The sequence below is a fragment of the Homo sapiens genome, chromosome 4 (assembly GCF_000001405.40).
Source record: "Homo sapiens chromosome 4, GRCh38.p14 Primary Assembly".
NCBI lineage: Eukaryota > Metazoa > Chordata > Mammalia > Primates > Hominidae > Homo > Homo sapiens.
This window is the reverse complement of record NC_000004.12, coordinates 114,450,634-114,466,566: the sequence shown is the minus strand read 5'-3', so window position 1 is coordinate 114,466,566 and position 15,933 is coordinate 114,450,634. Positions and strand designations below refer to the sequence as shown.

At 35.8% G+C, this 15,933-nt stretch overlaps 1 long non-coding RNA gene across 1 annotated transcript in view; it reads right to left on the bottom strand.

Moving 5' to 3' along the window:
• LOC105377379 (uncharacterized) overlaps positions 1-8,455 on the bottom strand; it is a 35,996-nt gene extending 27,541 nt beyond the window's left edge. Inside the window, exons 1-2 of the long non-coding RNA XR_001741520.3 lie at positions 8,340-8,455; positions 7,188-7,353 (exon numbers count right to left, since the gene is read on the bottom strand). This is a non-coding gene — a long non-coding RNA (uncharacterized LOC105377379). The remainder of the gene's footprint in view (positions 1-7,187; positions 7,354-8,339) is intronic.
• Positions 8,456-15,933: the final 7,478 nt, after the last annotated feature.

Genomic DNA, 15,933 nt, shown 5'->3' with positions numbered 1-15,933 from the left:
GAGAGTGTGCAGTAGCACTAAATTTGCTGACAGGCTGTTTCTCTCACTCATCTGGTCTGAGGAGATACTGAGTCAACAGAATAGAACACCATCAGCTTTCCTACTGCAAAGCTCACGCCCTTCAGAGTGATACCTTTGTCCTCTGGGGCTTATTCAACTGCTTTAGGAAACTGATAGCCTGAGCAGTATAAATACAGCAGAGTCCAATATGCAGAGAAAATAAAAAGAGATAGAATTAACCCAAAACAGTGCTGCACATTTTTTTCATGCTTCATCAATTTAACTTTTATTTCTTGGTATAGTCATATAAAATTAGAACCTTCTTTGGAACATATTCATTTTATTTTGATTATAACACCTGACCCCTATCATTCTCATTCTCCCTCACAAAATCACAAAGGGTTTAACATTTTCTCTTCTTATTTGATATTTGCAACTCATAACATAAAATGAGGTGGGGAAAAATTAGAACTTTTTACAATTGGCAGCAAATCTAGCCTCTACTCACTCACTCATTCATTATTCATTCATTCATAACTGCTCTAAAGTACTTCAAAGATAGGAATCAAATAATCTAAATAAATGACCACACCGTGACCTTCCTCAGTCTAGTGTATTAGCATTCACTTACAATGTGCCATGCACTTTGTGTGTTTGAAAACTGTACTTAGAATAAGTGCATTTCAGAATAGTGTTGGACTAGAGTCTGTTTACCTATGAGGAGACTTAGGGAAATTACCTTATAAAGTTACTAGTATGTAACTAACAGAGGTAATACTTTTGGGGGTATCAGAAAATTGGGAAGTTAAATGATTTTAACATCCTTTCAGTGATAGATTTCTATGAATTCGTAGAAATAATATACTATAATTTTATTATCTGTAGTGGTCTAGTCACTCATTTTAATATTATTTTACCACCTGCTATGATATAGGCACTGTGTTTGTCAGGGAAACTATAGTTTTGAAAAACATGGCTCCTGTATGTTTGTTAAAGGACATAAACAAACAAGAAGTTACAAAGCAGTGTAGTAAGTACTCCTTAATACAGAGTATGGTTATGGGTGAAAGGTGACTAACAGGCATTCTAGGCATAGCAAAGGCCCCAAATATTTGAGGGCATTTTGGGTACAGAAGTAATATACTTGGAAAATGAGAAGTGAATGATATGTGAGGAAATGTAGTGAATGCATATAAATTATGCTTTCAAGAAATTTGATTTTTAAGCCAAAAAAAAAAAAAAAAAAACCAGAAAGAAGTTTGGGTATTATAATGATGTAAAGTGTCAAGGAGGGAATTTTTTTCCGCAAATGGAAGCGATAACCATATTCATATGCTATAAAGAAGCCAACACATGAAGAGATAATGGAGCAAAGGGATGCATTGGACTCAGATTATTGGCATTTCTTTTTCTGAAAGTGAAAATGAAATAATGATGATAAAGGGAGGACACTTCACACCGAAGTGTAAAGCATAGCACCAGATAATAAAAAGCCAGGTCAGCATAAGATGAGAGGGGCGGCAGATTGTCTTGGTACTTGTTGGAGTTGGAAGAAGGAGAGCAGAAATGGGAGAAGTAGCTGACCAATAATGCTTTCTGTTGATCTGGACTGAAGGACCTGAGTCAGTGAGCATGCACTTTTACTGCCAATAGCCACGTGGTTGTTACATTTTCTCTGGCATTGCTCAGCAGCAATGTGAGAGCTTATGAAGTGAGGGGGAAGACTGACAGTTTGGGAACTACCATAGAAAAGAAAGACACGGGCAGGGGCAGTGCCTCACACCTGTAATCCTAGCACTTTGGGAGGCCGAGGCAGGTGGATCATTTGAGGTCAGGAGTTTAAGACCAGCCTGGCCAAGATAGCAAAACCCTGTTTCTACTAAAAACACAAAAATTACCAGGGCGCAGTGGCAGACACCTGTAATCCTGGTACTCGGGAGGCTGAGGCAGGAGAATTGCTTGAACCTGAGAGGTGTAGATTGTAGTGAGCCGAGATCACGCCACTGCACTCCAGCCTGGATGACAGAGTGAGACTCCGTCTCAAAACAAAAACAAAAACAAATAAACAAAAGAAAGACATGGGATGAAGAATTTAGGAGAGAAAGCGTGGGAAGTTATGAACTTCAAAATGTCCAAAGCATAGAGAAGGTAGTCAATAAGGGGAAAGACAGGGCGACTAAAGATCTCAGTTCAGCAAGGATTCTGGGCAAAAAAGATTTAGAAAGCTAGAAGAGAAGGGGGTTAGATGAATGAAAGCATTGTGGAACAGAACCTTAAAATTTAGGGGTTGGGAGCTTTCATATGGTAACTTTCTGCGTGCTGAGATGGGAGTGTGTATTAAACCAAAATAGAGATGGAAGTGATTGAATTTGAAGATCACAATAAACATCGTGACTAGGTGGTTGGTTAGAATCACTGCTTGCATATGGAAATCTTCCAGAAGAATGAAGAAAAATAAGATGGAAAGAAGAATGTAAACCATGGGCCAAACTCCTCAATGAATATGAGGGAAGATTGAATTATCAGAAACATGTCAGAAAGGAGAAAATTTAGAGGGTACCAAATTTGGATGCTGTAAGTTTTAAAGGATGAAGGGGTTTTTCTTGCATAAATATAGAAAAATAATGATCTAGAACTGGCAAAGAGAAATTGAGATAATGTTGCAATTGCTTTAGGAATTTGGGGTGTGGGACAACGAATAAGCTTGTTCTTGAAAGGACTATTTGAAGGTATTTGGTATTTGAAGACCAGCCAGGTTTTAGTTGAGGCAAAGAGGAGAAATATAGAGAAGTTGTCATATGCTTCCATTTGGAATATTACAATATGTGCTTAGGATTCTAAAGAGAACCATTTTAAAAGCTTTCTGGTACCCTTTCAAGGTGATTCCTTAAGGACAGGAAGTGCAAGTGCACATGCTGTATCTTGTATCTCTGTATCTTGTGTCCACGTGGGCATCTGCATACTTTAAACTCCTTGAGATAAGCGACTGGTCTTGTGTGTACTTATATTTTCAGCATCTAGTTCACAACTTAGCAAATAGTAGGCTTTTAATAAGTACTTGTGCCTGCCATATTTTAGGTGATCTACACATATTTGTGGAAGGACTATATCATACGGTATATAGATAATATCTTCCTTGAGTTTGCTTCTTCTTGTTTTTTTTCCTTTGAAGAACAAATATAAGAGTGAAACAAAAACGCCCAAAGTGAATTGTTGGAGTTTTAGTCTTTTAGCCTATATATCTATAAAACCTTTTTGAGATATTCTCTTTAAATAATTAAATTACTATGAAACAGGACACTTTTTTCCTCATTTGAAATTGGTGGCCATTTTTCTGCCTTATGAGAACTTTCCATTTTTTTCCTGCTGTGGTATAATTCATGGATTTTTATTTTAGTGAAAAAAATCCAAAGTGTCAATTTTTTTTGTCTTGTTTAAGTAGGTTCCTGTCATCCAGTTTCACAGTGAGAACCTATATTTTCCTCTTATTTATTCTTACAGCTGTTTTTTGCTTTAGTGATGACAGGTAGATACGATTCAAAGTTAAGTCTAACTGTGCTGCAAAAGTAACTTTTAAAACTTGACTACAGAATCCTAGAAATCCTAAAAGTAAATGTCGGTATCAGTGAAAGTCCTAATACGGTCTATAGTTGGAAGTAAGGCATTTTGCAGGTTGATAATTTCATGTGCTCACAAAAACTCAGAAAACATTCTCTATTTGAATATCTGTTCTGTAACTTGGCTTAAAAATATGCTTCTTCTCTTTAACACATGTGTATACTTAACCTCACAAAGATTATCAATGATGTTAATTTTACACAAGTTTCTTAGCTAAATATTAGCTGTACTTATATGAATGCCTACTTCCTTAGATTCATATTTTGAGGTTAGGTATTAATCTTTATTTACTAATTCAACAAATATTCATGAGTGGCTACAATACACAAGGCTAGGACATTGAGATTACACTGACTTTAGATACAAAAATATTGGTTTATATATGAGACGTACCATTTGTTTATAAAACTGTAGAAAACCATAACAAAATTCGTCAATGATTTTTTTTTAATTACCACAAACAATTATGAGAACTACATATAAAAAACATTGTTTCTTTTGAGTGCTGACAAAGTTTCTTCTTGAGAAGATTCGTTCTTTTGGATTAATCCATTCTCTTCATTAAATCGTGAGTGGGTTTTAAATGGAAAAAAAAGGGGCAGTTTTTAAGTTTTTATACCAAGTGTTTACATTAAAATAACATAAGCTATTAATTGGCTATACATTGTTCTTTGTATCACTAATTTCAGGAACATGAAGATAATGAGTGAGGGTCACATTGTGCAACCTGTGGTAACATTTTAGGTAATTTATCAGTTATTATAAATTTATAAATTATGTAGTTAATTTATCAGTCTGGAAACTATAGGGAGGGGTAAAAAGAAAAAAATGCTTTGAAACAATTGCCTGGCTGGGCGCGGTGGCTCACGCCTGTAATCCCAGCACTTTGGGAGGCTGAGGTGGACAGATTGGTTGAGCCCAGGAATTTAAGAACAGCTTGGGCAATATGGCAAAACTCTATCTCTAATAAAAATACAAAAAATTAGACGGGCAGGGTGGTGCACATCTGTAGTCACAGCTACTCAGAATGCTGAGGTGGGTAGATCACCCAAGCCCAGGAGGTTAAGGTTAAGGGGAGCTACGATTGTGCCACTGTGCTCTAGCCAGCAGGGTGATAGAGTGAGACCCTGTCTCAAAAAAAAATCCAAAAACAAAAACAAGTGCCCCAGGCATGGGTGGGAGGAAGATGACTTCAGTCACATACTCTTGTCTCTCTCGGCCTAATACATTTTGCATACCTCATATTTTCAGACTTCTCTGAGCTATTCTCCTTTCCTACGGGCTATTTTCAATTGCCACCATTTGCCTAATTATATCTTAATACTACCACTAAAATATAACAATACCAGTTAAAATAACATACCAGTTAATATATTTTTATATATATAAACACAGGTGTCGTAGTCCATTTTCTGTTGCTATAACTGAATACTGCTGACTGGATATGTTACAAAGAATACAACTTTATTTAGCTCACAATTCTGGAGGTCAGGAAGTCCCAGGTTGACAGGTCTGCATCTGACAAGAGCCCTTTTGCTGCAGCAAGCCATAGCAGAGGGCATCATGTGGTGAGAGGGCAAGAGCATGTATGCCAGCTCAGGTCTGTCTTCCTTTACTTATAAAGCCACTGGTCCCATCACACCAATCACCTTATCTAATCCTGATTACCTCTTAAATATTCCACCACTTGTGAACATACAAATTTGAGGATTACATTTTTAGCACATGAAATTTGAGAGACACATTCAATCTGTAGCACCAGGGTTCTGACTTAGAGACTATGAGCAAGCAAACTTACCTGATTGTAAACATGCTGCTGATAGACTGAGCTATCATTTCCTTTATCTTGTGTGCAAACCCAATAAGTAGCAATAATAAGTATTACTTTTTTATTTAAAAAAATTAATTGACCACAATGCGTCAGGCAGTGTAGAAAACAGAAACATTTCCATTCTCCATCACATTCTAGTGTAGACAATAACCAAGATAAATAAGTAAATATGGTGGCAAATGCTAAAGAGAAAAATAGAGCAACAAGGGAGAATAGGGAGCTTAGCAGAGGGAGTTGGGGAATAGTAAAAGCTTAAATAGAGTGTTCAGTCAAGGTTTTCTTGAGCAGGTGACCCTAGAGACATGACTGAAGTAAGGGAGCTGAGCACGTGAACCTCTAAGTGAAGAGCCTTGTCGGCAAAAGGAATACCAAGAGCCAATGCTCTGTTGCAGGAGGGTGCATAAAGTAACAGTGAGGAGACCTGCATGGCTGAAGCACAGTGAACAAGAAAAAAAAAATAATAGCAGAAGATGTTGCAGAAATGAGAGGAGAGTCCTATCGGGTCTAATATGTCATGTTAAAGACTTCAGCATTTACTCCAACTGAAATGAGAAGACTTTATGGACTTTTTAGCATTAGAATGACATGATTGGACTTTTTTTCTTTTTTTACAGGATTCCTGGGTGCTTTCTTGAGAATAAACTACAGGGCTTGAAGTAGGGTGGAGGTCAAAGGTAGAAGGAAGAAGGACAATGAAAAGACTATTAGAATAATACAGTCATGAAATGGGTTGTTAGACACTGGTGGTAGTAGGTAAGGAGATGAGAAGTATTTGATTCACAGATATATTGTGATCATATAATCAATAGAATTTGCCTCGAATGTGGGGTGAAAAAGACAGAAAAATCAAAGATAAAACCAACCATTTTGGTCCTTGGCAACTGAAGGTATGGAGTTTCCATAAATTTTGATGAGGAAAACTACAGGAAAGACAGGTTTTCTGGGAGACATTAAGAACTAAGTGTGGTCATGGTCAACTTGAGATGCCCCGCCTTCTTTTTTTTTTTTTTCAGGGTCTGAAACTCCTGGGATCAAGGAATCCTCCCAAGATGTGCGATGCTTATTGAACATTCAAAGTAGGCAGATGACTCAAAATTCAGTGGAGAGATTTAAGGTAGAGACATTAACTTTAAAGCCTTCAGCATATACATGATATTCTGAATCATGAGACTGGATAAGATTACCAAAGGAATAAGTAAAAATAGAGAAAAGAGGCTTTTGACACTAAGATGCCTGAGAGAAAAGGAGAAAACAGCAAAGGGACTTACAAGGCATAACCAGGTGAATGTCGTGTCCTGGATGCCAAATGAAGCAAGTGTTAAAGGGAGGAGAAATCTAATTCTGTTAACTTGTATTGACAGGTCAAGAAAATTGAGCATTGAGAAATCACTGTAGGATTTAACAACGTGGAGGTTATCATAACCTTGCTAAGAATAGTTCTGAGGGAGAAGTGGGGACAAAAGAAATGAATAAAAAGTGTTTGAGAGAAAATAGGAGGAGGACATTGGGAAATATAGGAAGTATGCGGAACTCTTTCAAGGAGTTTTGCTCCAATTATTAGTAGAGAAATGGTGCACAAACTAGAAGAGAAAGTGGAAACAAAGGTTTTTGAGGAGTCTTTTTGCTCTTTGTTTTAAGATGGGAGAAATAACAGTATATTTGTATGCTGATGGTATGATTTCTTAGGAAAGGAAAAATCAAGGATGCAAGAGGGAAGGATAATTGCTGGAACAATTACCTTAAGTGGAGATCAGGGATGGGATGACCTTAAGCCAGATGCATGGAGAGTTCTTTCATGAGAGAAGCTGGAGTTTAGGAACACACACAGGTAGACAGGTAGATGTGGTGGGGATGGTAGAGGCTTTTCTGATAGCTTCCATTTTCTTCTTGATGTTGTTATTCACCTAGAATAAGACACAAATACCAAGACAAGGAAAATATAGATCTAAAACAGAGTAATAATAAACCCTTCCCAATAGGTTTACTTCACTTAATTCGCCACTTATCCTGACAGTTATTCTAATGATTCCAGTGCCTTTTGAGCAGCAAAGGAGATTTATCTCTCAGGATATTACCTAAATATTACTTCAGCATTCAGTTGCTATTGCAGAAAAACAACCAGAGCCTCTTACAAAAGAGAAAAGAAACTCTAGCATGGTGCCCTTTTAAGATAGGGCATGCATCAGCACAACTTCTCAGGAGTGTAGATACCCTATTAAGATGCTAATTAAGTGCTTGTCAGGGAGAATTATTTGCTCTTCCTCTCTCTTATCTGTTTTTCCCTGCATTTAAAATCTAGTCTCTGGGTTCCGAATTTCAATTCACAACAAAAATATTCTTGGGAAAATTTCTGGCACTTGCAGATAGTGCTTAAGTTGACATTTGGTAGAAATCTTTCCTGAGTACCATCAAAACTTGAGGCTTGTACTTAAAATGACTGACATGAATCACCCCAAGGAAGATTAATTTCAAAACAACATATGGCCCTATGGCATAAATGTTATGAAGACCCCAACCACATTATACACTACTGTAACGAAAGACAATGCATAGATTCTGAGGGGTTTATTTTTATGAGTAGTAGCAAAAGGCTAGTTGTTATGACCTGTAAACCTCCATCATAAACATTAGTACTAAATTTTAAGAATTGAGGTGAGTAGCTAGTGGGGGGAAGTGTAGTATAATAAATTATACATATGGATGACTATTGATTTGAATTTCTTTTTCTAACAAAGTTTTTATATATGTAAATAAAATAAGTGGTCAGTTGTATGGATGTTAATTAACTAGTTTACTATTTGGTACCTTTTGTTTATATGTATACAAAGAAATATACTCACATTTTAATTATGTTAACATTAAATCTTACTTTTTTTCCCTTAACACATACCTGTAAACCAAAAGTAAAAGTCTAAATTCCCCCAGCTGACCGAATGGACTCCACTCTCAGCCAAGGGGACCCAAAGGAACCTGAAAAACTACATCAGGCTATGATAGAAAGGAAGAGATAGGCCATGCCTCATTATACTTTTCTCCCTTTGGAGTTGAGGCACAATTGACCAGCATTAACATTAAAACCGAGATCATAATAAGAGTGACAAAACAGACTCTTTGTAACCATAAGATACCAAACTCCAGCCAGACTCTAGTATATCACATACTAGATATGTGATATACTAGATAATATCACATGACAGATAAATAAAGAAATCAAAATATTTTACCCCCAATTATGTCAGTTTTTCATATTTTAAAATGACCCTGCAAAGCAGTCTTTCATGGGGGAAAATTTGTATCTGTAAAGAATCTTTATTAACATAATTAGATCTTTCCCCCTTCCAGTCCCTCCCAACGCTGAAGACATTAACTAAAAGTCTAGCAACTTTTAAAAGTCTGAATAGGAAATATTTGCCAACTCTTGTCTCTAAGGGTAGGCCACCTATGAGACTCATCTACGTAATAAGAACCTTGGTCTCCACAATCCCTTGTCTTAACCAAGACACTCCTTTCTGTTGATTCCAGGTTTTTAGATAATAAGTTAGCTCTTTCAACCAACTGCCAATCAGAAAATCTTTAAATCCATCTATGAGCTATAACCCTCTCCGCGCCCCTGTTTTGAGTTGTCCCATCTTTCCAGGCCAAACCAATGTTTACCTCAAATGTATTAGTTGATGTCTTATGTCTCCCTAAAATGTATGAAATCAAGCTGTAACCCAATCACCTTGAGCACAGCTTCTCAGGACTTCTTGAGACTGTGCCGTGGGCTGTTGTTACTCATATCTGGCTCAGAATAAACTTTTAAAAATATTTTACAGGGTTGAGGGTTTTTTTTTTTTTTGTCAGTATAGCTACTATGGTTTGGGAGCATAATTCATAAGAGGAGGCCCTATGATAATAGAAGCCAGCCTGGTATATATGTAATGGAACACATGTAATGCACAAACTGAATTATACACATGGTTTACCAAAAGGTAAAAAATTTGAGAAAAGTACATACATTCATCTACTCATATGCAAAGTTTTCTATAATTAATTGTCTAACAAATTCTAAATCTTGATATAATTTTAATAGATGATAATGCTACTATTAAGATTATACAAACAGCTTTACTCTTTTTCAGTTTAGAACTTTACCATATATAATTTTAGGTTTGTGTGCCCAAATGAAAGTATATTCTAATCAAAGGTGATTATAAAAATAATGATAATTCTTGGCTGGGCATGGTGGCTCATGCCTGTAATCCCAGCACTTTGGGAAGCCGAGGCGGGCGGATCACGAGGTCAGGAGATGGAGACCATCCTGCTAACACGGTGAAACCCTGTCTCCACTAAAAATACAAAAAAATAGCTGGGAGTGGTGGCAGGCGCCTGTAGTCCCAGCTACTTGGAAGGCTGAGGCAGGAGAATGGCGTGAACCCGGGAGGCAGAGCTTGCAGTGAGCCGAAATCACGCCACTGCACTCCAGCCTGGGTGACAGAGCGAGACTCCGTCTCAAAAAAAAAAAAAATAATAATAACAATAATAATAATGATACTTCTTGAAATAAAGGGCTTGGATAATTATACTTTCTAACTTTTCCAGTTTAAGTAGGAAGAAAAAAGCATTATTCTCAATGAGTTACATTTTTGTAATGAAAATGCATCTGAGCTAATAAAGTTGTGTTGTTTTAATTTCAGATTTATAGTACAACCTCTCATAATTCAAAAATTTAAGATGTGATGGGTATATATATAACAGATGTGATTGATCAATGTTTAATAGCAGAATTATCCTTATATCTTACAGCATATTTAAACACTGCCTTTGTGACTGCTTCATAAATTATTTCAGGGTAATAGCTGGGACATTAATATGGTTAGCAACAAAAACTTATTCATTTAATATTAGTAGAATAAAAATTTATCCTGTTTAAGAATACTCTGTTCCAGAAAATTGACTCAACAGTTGTTCAACACTTTCCTATAACCAATAAAAGGTATACTCCATGAATTTGCGAAGCTGACCTATTGGGGGGTGGGGTGGGAACAATGTTATCTCTATTCTCTTACAAATTTTGTTCATTTACCAAACGTGGGTGGCTATAGTCTGTTATGCTCACTATGGAGAAAAGTAATCTAATGAGAGGCATGAATGATAAGAATTGCAGACAAATAGAAGCAAGAAAAGTAGAAAAAGAACCTGAAAATACTGAAATACTTGGTTTCAGTTCAATATAGACGCCCACTTGATTTTTACTTTGATTTCCATGAGTGATGCTTGAGTCTTTATTATAAATTACACTCCATACTCAAACTACTTTTTGCTGATATTTTGTGACACACAATCAAAAAAATTTTTAACAGACACATCATGATTAATTGCATCCAATAATATGGATAAACTCAAAGATCACTCCTGGTTACCAACGTGGGTCATTGGATAAATGGAAAGGCCATTCACTAAGATATTTCGTTAAAAAAAAAAAAGATAAAAGAATTCATAAAGCCAAAGAATCTTATAAACATCTCCTGCAGAATATTTATTCGACACATGTTTATTTACACACACGTATATACACACATATACATATATGTAAACACACAATCTTCAATTTTCATTATTCATAGATTCCATATCTGCAATTTTGCCTACTCACTAAAATTTACTTGTAACACCAAAATCAATACTTGTGACTCTTTTTTAAACATTTGTGGACATGCACAGAGCAAAGCAAATTTTGAGTTGCCCGATGTGCGGCTGAAATTGAACAAGGTGATGCTCTGCCTTTTTGTTTTAGCTCTCATCAGTATAAACTAATGCCCTCTTTTTCTCATTTCTGTGCTTTGGTTGTTGATGATTTCGCTTCTTTAATGGCCCTCAGTTGTAGTGTTGAAGTGCTGTCTAGTGTTTCCTAGGTGCAAGGAGGCTGTGACATAATTTAGGAAAAAAATGCATGTTAGATAAAGTTCATTCAGGCATGAGTTGAAATGCTGTTGGCCATGAGTTCAATGTTAATAAATTAATAATATATATATTTTAAAATCTGTCTTTAAACAGAAGAATACATAAAATAGAGTTACGTACTGACTAAGTGATAAAAATGTGACCATAGGTTCATAGGAACTTAACCCTGTATTTCCCTTAGGAGTAGAGGCTCAGTGTGTGTTAATCCAGTGTTTGTAGTATTTTTATAGAACATTAGTATCACAAATAATAAGAGTAGACTTTTATATATTCTATTTTACAGTATAACATAATATACTAATTTAATAAAAAACTATAAAAATTACAATAATTATCTTTAAACATATTTTCAAATTTCATAAATCAGAGTTTTATTCATTAAGACATATCAGCTATAAATTAGCAAGTTCCGCTTTATTGCCAAAGAACTCATCTTTTGATTTTTGAAGTTCAAAACATTTATCAGTTGAATCACAAGGAAGATGCTTTAGAATATTAGAATAAGAAAGGAGAATGAGGTCTAAATTCATTTTGGTGTGTTTTATCATTCAAGATACTAAGTAAACCCCTAAAAAATTTCATTTTCTGGCAGTTTTGTCAGAGAAGTGTGAACCAGAGCAACTTCATCTTAAATAGGAGCTGGGTAAAATGAGGCTGAGATGTATTGGGCTGCATTCCCAGATGGTTAAAGCATTCTAAGTCACCGGATGAAATAGGAGGTCAGCACAAGATACAGGTCATAAAGACCTTGCTGATAAAATAGGTTGCAATAAAGAAGCTGGCCAAAACCCACCAAAACCAAGATGGCCATGGGAGTGACCTCTGGTCATCCTCACTGCTACACTCCCACCAGGACCACAACAGTGTATAAATGCCATGGCAATGTTAGGAAGTTACCCTATATGGTCTAAAAATGGGAGGTATGAATAATCCACCCCTTGTTTAGCATATCATCAAGAAATAACCATAAAAATGGGCAACCAGCAGCCCTTGGGGCTGCTCTGTCTGTGGAGTAGCCATTCTTTTATTCCTTTCTTTTTTTTTCCTTTACTTTCTTAATAAATTTGCTTTCACTTTACTCTGTGGACTCACCCTGAATTCTTTTTTGTGCGAGATCCAAGAACCCTCTCTTGCGGTCTGGACTGGGGCTTCTTTCCTGTAACACTTTTACATAGTTAACAATGAAGATTATACATATGGTACTATTGTTTCTTCCTTTGTGTCCACATGTACTCAGTGTTTAGCTCCCACTGATTATAGAACATGGGGTATTTGGTTTTCTTTTCCTGCATTAATTTGCTTAGGAAAATGGCCTCCAGTGGCATTCATAGTGCTTCAAAGAATACAATTTCTTTCTTATTTATTGCTGCCTAGTATTCCATTATATATGAATAAATGTGAGAGATATATATATCACATTTTCTTTACCCAGTCCACTATTGATGGGGATTTATGTTGATTTTATGTCTTTGTTGTTGTAAATAATGCTGCAATGAACATGCAAGTGCATGTGTCTTTATGGTTGAACAATTTGTATCCCTTTGGGTATACATTCAGTAATGGGATTGCTGTGTCAAATGGTAGTTGTGTTTTGAGTTCTTTGAGAAATCTCCAAACTGGTTTCTACAGTGGCTAAACTAATTTACATTCCCATCAGCAGTCTATAAGTGGTCCCTTTTCTCTGCAACCTTGCCAGCCTGTTATTTTTTTACTTTTTAATAATAGCCATTATAACTGATGTGAAATGGCATCTAATTATAGTTTTGATTTGCATTTTCTAATGGTTAGGGATGTTGTGCATTTCTTCGTATGCTTATTGGCTGCATGAATGTCTGTTCGTGTTCCTTGCTCATTTTTTAATAGGGTTGTGTTTTGCTTGTTGATTTAAGTTCCTTACAGATTCTGGATATTACACCTTTGTGGAATGTGTACTTTGCACATATTTTCTCCCATAATATAGGCTTTCTATTTACTAGCCAATTGCTTCTTTCAGTGTTCAGAAGCTCTTTAATTAGGTTTCACTTGTCAATTTTGTTTTTGTTGCAATTGCTTTTGGAGTCTTTGTCATGAAATCTTTGCCAGGGCCAAAGTCAAGGATGGTATTTCCTAGTTTTTTTCAGGGATTTATAATTTTAGGTTTTACATTTAAATCTTTAATCCATCTTGACTTTCTTAACATGGTATAAGGAAGGACTCCAGTTTCAATCTTCTGCATATGGCTAGCCAGTTATCACAGCACCCTTTATTGAATACGGAGTCTTTTCTTCATTGTTTTTCATTGTTGAATTTGTCAAAGATCAGATGGCTGTAGGTGGGTGGCTTTATTTCTGCATTCTTAATTCTCTGTGTGCCTGTTTTTGTACCAGTGCCATGCTGTTTTGGTTACTGTAGCATTCTAATATAGTTTGAAGTAGGGTAGTGTGATGCCTCTGTCTTTATTCTTTTTGCTTAGGGTGCTTTGGCTATCTGGGCTCTTTCCTTGGTTCCATATGAAATTTTAGAATAAATTTTTTCTAATTCTATGAAAAATGTCATTGGCTGTTTGATAAGAATACCATTCAATCTGTAAATTGCCTTGATCAGTATGAACATTTTAAGAATATTGATTCTTCCTATTCGTGAGCATGGAATGTTTTTCTATATGTGTCATCCCTGATTTCTTTGAGCAGTGTTTTGAAATTCTCATTGTAGTGATCTTTTACCTCTCTGGTTACGTGTATTCATAGGTATTTTATCCTTTTTGTGACTATCATAACTGGGATTGCATTCTTGATTTGGCTTTCAACTTGGACACATTGGTATATAGAAGTGCTACTGACTTTTTGTACATTGACTTTGTATCCTGAAACTTCGCTGAAATTGTTTATCAGAGGTATGGGCCTTCGGGCAGAGACTATGGGGTTATCTAGGTATAGAATTATATCCTCTGCAAACAAGGCTAGTTTGACTTTCTCTCTTTCTATTTGGATGCCTTTTATTTCTTTCTCTTCTTACCTGATTGCTCTGGCTAGGATTTCCAGTAATATATTGAATAGGAGTGGTGAGTGGGCATCCTCGTCTTGTTCTAGTTTTCAAGGGGATTGCTTCCAACTTTTGCCCATTCACTCTGATATTGGCTGTGGTTGTTTTGTTTTATTTTTATTGATGGCTCCTATTATTTTGATGTTCCTTCAATGCCTAGTTTGTTGAGGGTTTTCAATATGAAGGGATGTTGAATTTTATCAAAAGCTTTATCTGCGTCTATTGAGATCATCATGTTGTTTTGATTTTAGTTTCATTTACGTGATGAATTACATTTATTGATTTGCATATGTTGAATCAATCTTGCATCCAAGGGACAAAGCTTCCTTGATCATGGTGAATTATTTGGATGTGCTTCTGGTTTTGGTTTTCAATATTTCGTTGAGGAATTTTGCATCTATGTTCATCAAGGATATTGGCCTGGATTTTTCTTTTTCCATTATTTCCTATTTCCAGGTTTTAGTATCAGAACAATGCAGGCCTCATAGAATGAGTTAGAGAATAGTTCCTTCTCCTCAATGTTTTAAAATAATTTTAGAGGATTGATACCAGGTTTTCTTTTGTTTGTGGTAGAATTCAGCTATGAAGCTGTCTGGATAGGGCATTTCTTGTTTGGTGGAGTTTTTTCATTATGAATTCAATTTTGGATCTCATATTGGTCTGTTCAGAATTTCAATTTCTTTCTGGTTCAGTCTTGGAAGGTTGTATGTTTCCTGAAATTTATCCATTTCTTCCAGGTTTTCTAGTGTGTTTGCAAAGATGTGTTCATAATAGTCTCTGAGGGCTTTTTGTATTTCTGTGTGGTTGGTGGTAACACACCTTTGTCATTTCTGATTGTGTTTATTTGGATCTTCTGTTTTTTTTGTTAGTCTAGCTAGTGATCTAGCAATCTTATTTATTCTTTCAAATAATTAGCTTTTGATTTCATTAATCATTTGTGTAATTTTTTGTGTCTCCATTTAGTTCAGTTTGACTGATTTGGGTTGTTTATTTTCTTCTGCTAGCTTTGGTTTTGGTTTGCTCTTGTTTTTCTAGTTTCTGTAATTGTAATGTTAGTTTGTTAATTTGAGATCTTTCTAACTTTCTGATTTGGGCATGTAATGCTATGAACTTTCCCCTTAAGACTGCCTGAGTTTTGTCCCAGAGTTTCTGGTATAGTGTATCTTCATTTTCATTAGTTTCAAAGATTTTGTTTTGATTTCTCCCTTCATTTTATTGCTTACCCAAAAGTCACTCAGGTTCCAGTTGTTTAATTTCCATGTAATTGTATGGTTTTGAGAAATCTTGGTATTGATTTCTATTTGTATTGCACTCTGGCCTGATAGTGTGGTTGGTTAGATTTTGTTTTGTTATGAATTTTTTGAAAAAATGCTTTACGGTAGAGTGTGTTCTCAATTTTAGAGTATGTGCCATGTGCAGATGAGAAAATGTGTATTCTGTCTTGTTGGGTGGAGTGTTCTATAGATGTCTGTTAGGTCCATTTGTTCCATTGTCAAGTTTAGGTCGTTAATATCTTTGTT